The 12227-nt window shown below is 37.0% G+C and overlaps 1 protein-coding gene across 7 annotated transcripts in view; it reads right to left on the bottom strand.

The window, feature by feature from the left end:
• Nucleotides 1–12227, bottom strand: part of MYO16 (myosin XVI) — a 712290-nt gene that overhangs the window by 199485 nt on the left and 500578 nt on the right. The window lies entirely within an intron of this gene.

Genomic DNA, 12227 nt, shown 5'->3' with positions numbered 1-12227 from the left:
AGTACAGTAGTGCATACACAAGATAGATAGTACAGTAGTGCATACACAAGATAGTACAGTAGTGCATACACAAGATAGTACAGTAGTGCATACACAAGATAGATAGTACAGTAGTGCATACACAAGATAGTACAGTAGTGCATACACAAGATAGATAGTACAGTAGTGCATACACAAGATAGTACAGTAGTGCATACACAAGATATAGTACAGTAGTGCATACACAAGATAGTACAGCAGTGCATATTCAGTTGTTCAATGACACAGTTTCAGATTGGGAAAGTATTGACTCAGGGAGTTTCCAACCAATTAGTCTACCAAAATAAAGCATGACAACGTTGCCTGGGAAGTCAGAGTTTCAACTGAAGTCTAGGAATGGACTTGCACATATTTCACAGATCAAGTATATCTGATACCATATCATCTAACTATTCAAAGTATGCTAAAAACAACGAAAAGTATGATTCCAATATTACAAACGTTGAGTCTCAAATATATTTGAGCATTTAAAATATTTCCAAAAGGAAAATATATTTGAGCTCTCATCAGGAAATGAAGATAAAGCTGGGTTTACCATGAGATCCCAGAGAAAAGAGAAGCATTTCATGAGGGCCTCATTTCTGATTGCGTATTAGTGATGGGCAAGAATGAATGTGGGGGTTCTTTCAGAAATAGTAATCAACAGTCAAATCATTATATTGAAGAAATTATTTTCTTTATCAGAAAATTTTCCACATTCCTCCAACTGTCAATTTTTCTCTTTCCACAAGACATTCCCATCAGGAAACAAATATGTTATTTCTTAATCTTAAAGAAAAACCTTTATTTATCTTAAAGTATTTAAAAAACTATACCATAACTCAAATCTAACCAGCGCAAAATCCGACTTCCCCTCTAGGCTACTCTTCTACTTCTGTGCTTCCTTTCCTATCAACACACACACACACACACACACACACACACACACACACACACACACACGGCTGATTTCTACTTATTATCTCAAATTCTTATCTTTCCATTCCCTCTTGAAACCACTCTAATAAAACTTTTGACACCATGGCGCCATCAAACTTGCTTTTGTAGAAGTCATCAGCAATGTGCACATTTCTTTTTTTTTTTTCTTTTTTTTTGAGACGGAGTCTCGCCCTGTCGCCCAGGCTGGAGTGCAGTGGCGCCATCTCGGCTCACTGCAAGCTCCGCCTCACGGGTTCACACCATTATCCTGCCTCAGCCTCCCGAGTAGCTGGGACTACAGGCGCCCGCCACCTCACCCAGCTAATTTTTTGTATTTTTAGTAGAGATGGGGTTTCACCATGTTAGACAGGTTGGTCTAGATCTCCTGACCTCGTGATCCACCCGCCTTGGCCTCCCAAAGTGCTGGGATTACAGGCATGAGCCACCGCCCCTGGCTAGCAGTGTGCACATTTCTAAATCCAATGTTCAACTCTCACATTTGTTTCTCTTGACCCATCCCCACCCCGGCGTTATTTGACTGAGTCGGTTTCTCTTCTTCCATGGAGCACTTTCTCCCCTCTCCTCCGGGACACCACACTCTCTTGGCTTTCTAGCTCACTGGCTGCTTCCTCCCCATCTCCTTTCCCGACTCTTCGTGGACTCCTGGCCTGCTCATATTGGAGTGTCCAGGGGCTCTGCCTGTGGACCTTGTCTCTTCTCTGCCTATACCCACTTCTTTTGTGAGCTTACTCAGTTTTACAGACCTTTATGTTCCCTCATCTGCACCCTAAACCACTATGTTATACTAGACAAAACTTAAAGCCGGTTAGAAATATTTACTGCTCAGTAACTAAAAATAATTACAGATCAATATTTATATAGCTGGAAACAATTGATAAAACATTTGAAAGAAAATTAGATCTCATCTGCAAGGGGAATAATATCTAAGATAATATTTAATGAGAAATATCCTGTATTAATATAAAGAAATGCGAAAGCTTTTGTTAAAAAATAACAAAATATTAGCCAGGTGCAGTGGCTCACACCTGTAACCCCAGCACTTTGGGAGGCTGAGGTGGGTGGATCACCTGAGGTCAGGAGTTCGAGACCAGTCTGACCAATATGGTGAAATCCCGTCTATACTAAAAATACAAAAATTATCCTGGTGTGGTGGTGGGTGCCTATAGTCCTAGCTACTCAGGAGGCTGAGACAGGAGAATCGCTTGAACCTGGGAGGCGAAGGTTGCAGTTAGCTGAGATCACGCCACTGCATTCCAGCCTGGGTGACAGAGCAAGACTCCGTCTCAAATAAATAAATAAAATAAATAAGAAAGACTGGAAAGAAGAGCCCAGAAAAGAAAGAACTTCCTGGGTTCCTCTTTTCCACATATCCCAAATCTTCTCCAAGTCTGATGTCATCACAACACCTGGGAAGTAGGAGCTCCTTCTAGATGTTCTGGTCCTGCTAATGGGCATTCATGTCCTCCTTCTAGCCCATATAAGGACAGCTTCCAATGAGCAAGACAAATTACCTTCTCAAGTGACCAGCACGAGGTCACTCCATATCCTCCCAAAGGGAGCTCCCACTTACCCTTAAGGGTGTGGCTAGTAATGACTTGAGAATTACATGCACCTAGATGGAAAAGGACATTTTCTCAAAAATCCAGTTACTTGGGAGAATGGAAATTTATGACATTGTAGGGCATGAAGAAGTCTCAGGGGGAAATTTCTTCAGAGAAGAAACAAACATATGAAAGAGCAGAACATTGGTGTGAACACAGAAGGGAGTGTGGCGTGGGACTGGGTGGACTTGCTGTAAAGTTCTAGTCTTCTTGCCAGGGTTAGAATGTTGTGCGTAGGTGTAGCTAGCTCAAACATCTTCAGAAACGGGGTGATTAGAGCATGAGAGGGTGGCAGGCAAGGGGGTCCTTGACTGAAGCAGAGGTAGGAGAGCTCAAAGTGCAGAGGTTCTTACAACCTGATGGAGTTATTTTAATGATGAATGCACATGGTCTTTATTATTATTAATATGACAGGTGGAGAATAACAGTATAGTAGACATATACCAAACAAAATATTAAAGTAATAACCATATTAAAATAAGATCTGAATATCACATATTGACATTCAAATAGTAACAAAAATAATTCTTAGATTCAGGTCAAAAAATGGTGCTCCATGACTACCACCCTTCCCAATGGGTTTTCTTGTCTCTCTGCCTTCATGGTAAAAGATGGTTTCTTAAATTCAGTGATAAATTAATTTCTGTAGATAGAAGAAGTTTCCCTAAAACATTCTATTACAACATGAAATCTAAATTAAAAATTAAAGAAGAACTTGCCATGTTGTGGTTGTCATAGAAGTCATTTTAAACCTAAAGAACTTGAGAGGATTTGTATAAACCAGGAGACTCTCCTGGTATCGTCTTCTTCCCCCAGCATTCCCTCTGTGGTTACTGGATTTTCTTCCTTGTACATTATTTGCACAGTAAGTAACTAGAACTTTTCCTCTCTGTCTTCTGACAACTAGATTTCAAGAGAAATGCACAAAGCTGGAAGTTCTTTACCTTTTAAACCTTTAAGTGTTTCTTAGGTAAACTCACACTGCTGTGATCATCTCTTAATTAAAACAGTTGCTTCGGATGAGAACATACCATATAAAACATTTAATTTTAAAGGCGTTGTTGTTAAGGCAAATACGATTTGAATATGGACACAGACCAACAAATTCTGCACATTATAGCTGGCAGAGGGAGGAGTGGCATTCAGTATCTAAATATCATATGAAAAATATTTTCTTTCTTGTAACTGATACAGTCTAGCACATTTATCCTCTTGAATTATTCCATCAAAACCAAGTGATGCCAGGCAATCCAGATCTTCATGATCAGTTTCTATGTTTATCTTATCCTACAGGGCATAAATCTCCAGTAATGGTTTTGGAAAGAAAAACTACTTTCCATGCAACTATGTAGCATCTGTCCACAATGGCATCCCTACTGTTCAAGCAGTACATCTACTTGTCACTTTCATTTCAATCATAAATAAAAAATAAAAATTGTTAAAAAGAAATAAAAACTGTTTAAACTATTTCACTTTGCTTCAGAAATAATATTTTGATGCATTCCTTTAATAATTTGTTAAACTCCAATAATAAGGTAATTTTGTTATAAAGGAATAATAAATGCTATACAATTATTAAAGTTTGGGGTGAAATATTTACTGAAAATGTACAGAAACTAATGACTTCTCTTATGGAATGAAACCACTGGAAAATATCTTCTTTGACTATATGATATATACAACTGTAACTTCTCAAGTTTTTTATTATTAAAAATACATTGAATCATTTAAAAATTAACACAAATAGGTCATTTACTGCAACAATTTGACTTAAAACTGTTTATGGATAGTGTGGTTAAGTGGAATACATTTTAGGGAACAAATTGCTGAGAAACAATGTTGAATCCATGAAATAAGGTAATGTCTATTACTGTGCGAAATGATAAGAAGTTCGATAAACAGGATTCCAAATTTTAAAAACTCAGTGGCTGATTATTTACAAGACATACCCACATTATATGACATTTTCTTTTCCTCTCCTTTTGAGCTTCTCTAATTGAAAATACTTGGACATTGATGACTCTAACATATCTAATACAATTCTTTTGTTATTTTGCATTCAGAATAGGTTGCAGCTCTGTAGGTACAAAAACTGCTTTCGATCACAATCTGATTGCATCCTCCTGGCCTTGACTGCCTTACAGAACACAACCTCTGTCTTGTTTTGACTGACCTGAGGCTTCTGATAATAGAAAACAGATACTGTAATTGTTTTTTTCGTACTAATATTTTACTGAATTGAATATTGGCTTCACTGAATTGATCCCCTGGTTTAATCAAAGCAGTGAAACCAAGTATGAATGTAGATGAAACCGTGGCAAACACAAGGACGGGAAGAAGCCAGGTCTCAGCTTTCTTCCTTTTTTCCACAAACGTCTAAAGCAATCTACCAAACTTTGGATAACAGAAATGGATGTGGCCTGTGTCTCTGGATAGAGCAACCCAATTTATTCCTCTCTTGGTCAATCAAAATGATTGATAAAACCTACAGCGTCTCTGCTGGACTTCTAGCATTATTAAGCTGCAGCGTCAGTGGCGAGTTCTTTTTGTGGCATAGGGTGATCTTTGCAATACACCTGAACCTTTTATTGAACATCATGTTCTTTGTGTTCTGGGGGAAAAAATTTTAAAGTAAATTATTAAAATCCCGTAGAGAAATTTCCAGCTTCATGTGTAAAACCAAGTAGCCTGTGGACTGATTTCCAATTTGTACCTTTTATTATGAAGGTGCCTTCTGGAACTAAATCTATATTTGTGTTTCCAACAGTGGAGAGTGATGTGGAGTGGTAGTGAGTCACTGGAAACATATGTAGTTTAAAGTAGAATGTTTTTTTTCAAAATAATTTTGGTGTAATGTGTCCATTAAAATGTTTTACTTAAAGTTTGCCTTTATTCTAAACTGTTCAAAGCACTCATTGTTTGAACCAAAGTTAAAATATAGACGTACTGTGGCATGAAATTCAAAACCACTAGAACATGTAGCTAAGGTTAACAATAGGAACATATCATTCAATATCGGATACCTCATTGAAACTTTAAAAAAATGTACCCCACAAACCAAATGGTTTTGCCAAAGTCATGGACAGAACCTTATTCTTGATTTATTTTCACTAAACTCTGTATGTGTATGTGAATGTGCATATGTGGGCGTGTGTTCAACACAATCAGAGAAAGATAGAGTGAAGATTTTTACAGGCAAATTAGTTCGTATACCTAGAAGCATAAATCTGCATCAATCATTGGCATCATTGGCTTCAATGGAAAACAACCATTACTTTTTCAAATCTACCTACTGTAGAGTTGTTTTGGGGTTCAATTAGATCTCCGGGTATTCCTCAGAGTAGACGTGAATGTGGGTGAAAGGTGAGTATTCATAAATGCTCATGAATAATTATCAAGTAGCTGCTTAGATAGTATTTGCTCTTCTCTAATTAAAATACAGCTTTGTACATGAAGTGCCACTGCTAAGTGGTTTACTAATAAAAACTATGCACCCCTGGAACACACTCTTTAGGAACGGAAACTTATTGCTTATCCAGATGGCTCATCATTTGTATTAATGACAAACAATTTCTTGAGTAAATTTCCACCAACTGCTCTCCCTTTACTTTCATTACTCAGTGAAACATATCTGAAACAAAAATATAATAGAGCATGGCATACACATCACAGAATTAAAGTAGGAGATTAATTAAAGCTGACTCCAGCTGAAGGCAGAGCCCTGGGCAGTGACTCTCAAGCCTATCTGCACATTGGAATTAATTGAGGAGTTTTTTAAGAAAGGCTAATGTCTGGGCCTGACCCCAAACCAATTAAATTGGAGTGGGGTGCAGGCATTGAAATATTTAAAAAGCTTTCCAGGTGATTCTAATGGGTAGACATGGTTGAACACACTGAGATAGATCATAGAACTGAGAATGCACTATGCATCAACTAATTTGCTCATTAGTTAATATATATGTGTATATATAAGATATTAATGTGTGTGTGTTCACATGAGACAGACACACAGAGAGAGAGAGAAGGAATAGTGTTAGATTTTAGACACTGAGCATTGCTGAAATATGTTCAGCAGAACACTAATTGTGTGAGACTTTAATAGCTGTTGTCTAAAAACCCTACCTAAGCAGAAGCCCATTGGGGAAATATGGAGTTAAGTTAGGCTTCTCTGCAGGACTTCTTTGGGACTTGAACACTTCAAGCATACTATAAACTTCAACTATTTGAAGATTACCTTGGGGCTCACCAGACTGCTCCAAGTGGTTCTCCGACAAATCAGTTATCCCTGATTTCCATATATTGCCTATGAAACGGCAGGTACAGGAGGTTGGTGAGGGGATAGCATCTCTCTTGTTTACTTCAGTTTTAAAAGTCTAGTTTATTTTGTCTTCTCAGAATCTATAATTGTAGAGGCCTTTCTTTCCTACCATTCTTGTTTGGGAAAGGTCATGTTTACTCTTTTGCTAGCACCATGACTGACTCTTACCTTGATAGAGGATACTACCTCTGCCGATAAGCTAATCTTATTTTAAAAATAGAGGACTTGGGTGCTTGGTAGCCACAGCAGAGAAGGGTTGCTTTCCTTACCAGAGCCCCACATTGGGACCCGCAGTCAGCACCCAGGAAGTGGACTGGGCACACATTCGCTACCACCCACAGCTACCACCTGGCCCAGGCTGCCGTATTTGTTTTTGTTTGTATTTCTTTTTTCACCCTTCTATTTCCCAATCCCCTTCTCTTCCTTTTCTTTTTTTTTTTTTAAATTTTTTATTCTGTTACTATTTCTTAAAGGAATCAATCATCTTTCCTTCTCTGGCTTCCTTAGATATTTTAAAATTAAAGTATATATAACAAATTTTAAGTAAATATAAATTTCAGCTACTTCACATGTATAAAGACATTGTTTTACACAAATGAAAAACACTTTCTCTTTTTACAACTTTTATTTTATTCTGTTACTCAGAACAAAAAAATCTAGTATTTTGATGGGTTTAATTCATGACTATATTCTCCTTTAATGTAAATAATTACTACTTTGGGATTTGAAGAATTGGTCTTCAAAAAGGAGTCTATCGACTACAAACTAACTGGCTAAATTTATTGACAAATCTTATATAATAATATGCTAAGATCAGGATTGAAAAACACATATTAAAAAAATTATTTTTAGTATTTTGTATGATACCTTGTACATAAAATATATTCCTCAATTTAAATAGAAGCCATGCCCAAGAGTTAGAAACATAACCTCTGGTTAAAATGCTCTTATTTTAGAGCTTCAGTCACTCTATCAAATTGTTCAATATTTTTCAAAAAAAAGTTTGTTTTCTTGTTTAGTAATAAACTTCTAATCAATATGCTTTCTTTTTTCATATAAAATTATTCATATAGTCCAAAACCAATGATTAATGTATAATTTCTACCAAAATAATAAGCCTTTTTCAAATAGTTGTAATGATTCAGAATGAAATGCAAAGTTTAGAGGTTCTGACAAACTGACAGCATGGCCTGTGCTGGAGCAGCTCCTGCGGCCTCACACATCTGCCTCTGAATTCCCACTGGGCCTCATAAAACTTGTGGGGACTTTAACTCTTAATTTTCTGAAAAAGCTGTTGTAAGAGTTAAAAATTATATAGAAAAATAATCTGACTAATAGTAGGAGCTCAAGAAATTGTAGCCATTATCAATTATTAGCACAAAACTACATGAAAGCATTTTCCTAGTTTACGTATCTGGGATTGGAGCTTTATAGCTGGACAGCCACAATGATTAACTTAAGCCTTTTCCTGGTCATTAAAATTACTCAATTCACTCTTCTCTAAAGTAATCTGATAGATGGTTTCAAATGCATTAATTCTCCTTACTAAGCTTTGTAACATTTCCTTTTAATCATCCTGGTACTCTACAATGAAAAAGATACACCTCCATTATGAAACTTATTTATATTAAACGGATTTGGTGATAAATTCCACTATGGAAAAAACAATGGCACATAAAATTTACGAAGAGTTTATTGTTTCTAAACATAATAGAATAAATAATATTGAGTCCTAAGAGAAATACAAACAAAAGGGGCATCAAGTGAAGTTTAGAAAATATATACTAATAAAATTTTATGTTTAGCTTTCTAAGAACCTTTGGAACTGAAAATAGCTTGTTATTAAACCTGAATTCAGACCTTGGTTTTGTGTGAACTTCTATGAGCTACTTAAATTATTTAAGCTCAGAGGTGATATTACTTAACTTACAGAGATTTTGAGGGAAAAGTCATTAAATGTATAGTTTATATGCTCAAAATTCTTAATTATGTTGCCACTCCCCATTTTATTTCCCCAAAACAGGTTTTTGAAGACTGTTATTTAAAGAAGACCAATAATCATGCTATCTATAAACACAGAATCCAATATGATTGTAAGAGGTATATTATACTAGCATCTCATTATTTAATGATTCTATTTGTTTTTCTGTAGAAACCTGAATAGCATTATGCTAGAGTTCTGACACGTAGCGAAAATAAATGCATTTCCTTGTTCAAATTTTTAAAAATATCAGATCAACAGCTGGTAAGTCCCTGAAATGATTTTGGAAAGTTCAACATCATTGTGAAAAGGAGATACACAGGGTAGAAGATGCTTTAAGATAGAGGTAGATATTTAACACATGTATGATTTTGAAATCTATGTGTGAAACAACTGAAAATAATATTTTATCATATTTGTGTATCAATTGATCAGCAGACAAATCAATATTGATATCTAATAGCTATCACATGATACAGTGTGAGTGAAATTACATGGATCCTGTCCCATACTTAGACTAATATAGCAACCATTACCCATTTAAACATCCCCAGTCCTTTTCCCATGATGTCCAATTAAAACTGGTCCTTCACCATCAAGAGGTAGACTCAATTTACCCACCTCTCTGAACCTGGGCATGCTTGTGATTGCTCCAACCTACAGAGGAAGTAATACTATGTGACCTCTGAAGCTAGGTTATCAAAAAAAGCATCCAGCTTCCGCATGTGTTTCTCCTTTGGGGAAGCCACTCTAGAAAAATCATCCAACAAACTGCGAGAAAGCCCCAACTAGCATGTACATAGAAGCCATAGGGAGAGACCAACATGGAGAGACCAACGTGGAGAGACTCATGCAAAGAGGAACTGAGGCCCCCAGCCAACAGCCAGTGTCACCCTCTAGATTCGCGATTGATGGAAGCTTCACATGGCATTGGCCTCCGACACTCCAGTTATCTAGCTAAGGCCCCAGATATGATGGACCAGAGACAATCTGTCTCCGTATGCCCTGTTCAAATACTTGACCCAAAGAATTGGTGAGCATAATAAATGTTTATGTGTGTCATTAAGTTTTCAGGTAATTCATTATATAATCATAAATGCTGGAACACTAAAAAATATGTAGGACTGGAAAAGAGAAGAATTGGTGCAGAAGTGGGAACATATTATCTGGCCAGAGAAAATCTAATTTATAAAAAAGGAATTTGCCCTTTTAACATTTGTACCTTACCTGCCATACCATAATGTCTATGTAAACTTTAGTGCCTAGAACAGGGTCTGGAACTTGGGGCATATACAATATATGTTTATTGAATGAATGAATCCTAGATTACTGATGCAACTAAGCCAGAAAAATGAATCCTACTAGGTACTGCTACCATGCACTTACAAAGCACAGAGTATAGCAGTCTCAATTTTCTCATCTGTGAAATGTGATAACGCATGTGAAGAGTATGTGGAAAAGTCCAATTAAGAAAAGTTAATTTACTATTCCATTTTTCTTTCTATCATCTCTAGCATCATGATTTCACAATGAAGGGCATTAAAATATTTCTTGAGGTTGAGACTGCCAAATTATATCATATCATTTCATAAAACTTTAGAAGTCAAAGTATCTCAATTTTTCCAAACTCTGACCACATAGCCCAAGCCCAGGTCATCTGAAGTGTCCAGTAAATTTCAGTTGTTAGAAAACAGTCTGTAAGCAGGGAAATGATTTGAATTCTTGACAAGTCTGATGAAATCAATTTAGATAAAGCCTGGCTTGAAGATAAATTACGTATCACAATTCTTTTTTCTTCTTTTTTGAGATGGACTTTCACTCTTGTTGCCCAGGCTGGAGTACGGTGGTGCGATCTCCGCTCACTGCAACCTCCGCCTTCTGGTTTCAAGCGATTCTCCTGCCTCACCCTCCCGAGTAGCTGGGAATAGAGGCACCCACCACCACGCTGGCTAATTTTTGTATTTTTAGTAGAGATGGGGTTTCACCATGTTGGCCAGGCTGGTCTTGAACTCCTGACTTCAAGTGATCCGACCGCCTTGACCTCCCAATGTGCTGGGATTACAGGTGTGAGCCACTGGGCCCGGCCTATGTATCACAATTCTATCTTCTGCAAAGGGAGCTTTTATTTTGAACAAATGTGTTCTGTCTCCAATTCTTCAATTCTCTAAGTTCTTCCAGCATTTTTCCCTTTCCTTTCCTTTCCTTTCCTTTCCTTTCCTTTCCTTTCCTTTCCTCCCACTCTCCCTCCCTCCCTCTCTCTCTCTCTCTCTCTCTCTCTCTCTCTCTCTCTCTCTCTCTCTCTCTTTCTTTCTTTCTTTCTTTCTTTCTTTCTTTCTTTCTTTCTTTCTTTCTGCATGGTCTTGTTCTGTCACCCAGATGGGAGTGCAGTAGCGCAATCCCATCTCACTGCAGCAGCCTCAACCTCCCAGGTTTAAACGATATTCATGTCTCATTCTCCTGAGTGGCTGGGACTACAGGCATGTGCCACCATGTGTGGGTAATTTTTGTATTTTTAGTGGAGACAGGGTTTCACCATGTTGGCCAGGCTGGTCTCAAACTCCTGGCCTCAAGTGATCCACCTGCCTTGGCTTCCCAAAGTGCTGGGATTACAGACAGGAGCCAATGCACCTGTCATTCCAGCATATTGTTAACATGTAATTTTACTAGACATCATGGCTTTAAGAGATTCACTACATGCCTTTGCATGTATGTGTTTAGTGGGAGAATGTAGGGAAATTATTTGTAGGTTAAATGATTTGTTTCCATGACTTTGCTCATTGGTGCAGATCTGCAGAGCTCTATAATAACATGTTTAGAGAGAAAAAATTCTATCATTTATTATAGTAACACTTATATAATCTTAAATTTTTCTCATTGATTAAAAATGGCACATGATGAACTATTTTAAACATATTCAATCATGAAGGGAATAATGTAATAACCTCCATCAGCCACCAACTGACTTCAACAATCATCAGTAAGTACCAACCTATGGCCACTTCTGCTTTTTCCATTTCCTTATTGTCCTCAAAGGTGGACTCATTTGAAGCAATTTGCAGATGGTATGTCCTTAAACAGGTAACTACTTTAGTATAATTCTCTGAGATACAAGAACTTAGAGAAACACATTTTTTAGTATCTTTATCACACATAATCCAATAAATAATAATTTTTAAAAATTTCATCAACTGTCCAGATTGCACATTACTTTAATTATAGCTTTTATACATAATTTAGCACATTAGGGCCCAAGAATGCCCACACATTCAGCTGTTGTACATGTCTTTAGATAGGTTTTAATCTACAGGTGCCCTCCTTTCACAATTTTTCTCTGCATTTTATATGTTGA

The sequence above is a fragment of the Homo sapiens genome, chromosome 13, assembly GCF_000001405.40.
Source record: "Homo sapiens chromosome 13, GRCh38.p14 Primary Assembly".
In the NCBI taxonomy this organism is placed as follows: domain Eukaryota; kingdom Metazoa; phylum Chordata; class Mammalia; order Primates; family Hominidae; genus Homo; species Homo sapiens.
Note: the sequence above shows the minus strand (reverse complement) of the source record. Positions and strands in the feature narration are given on the sequence as shown.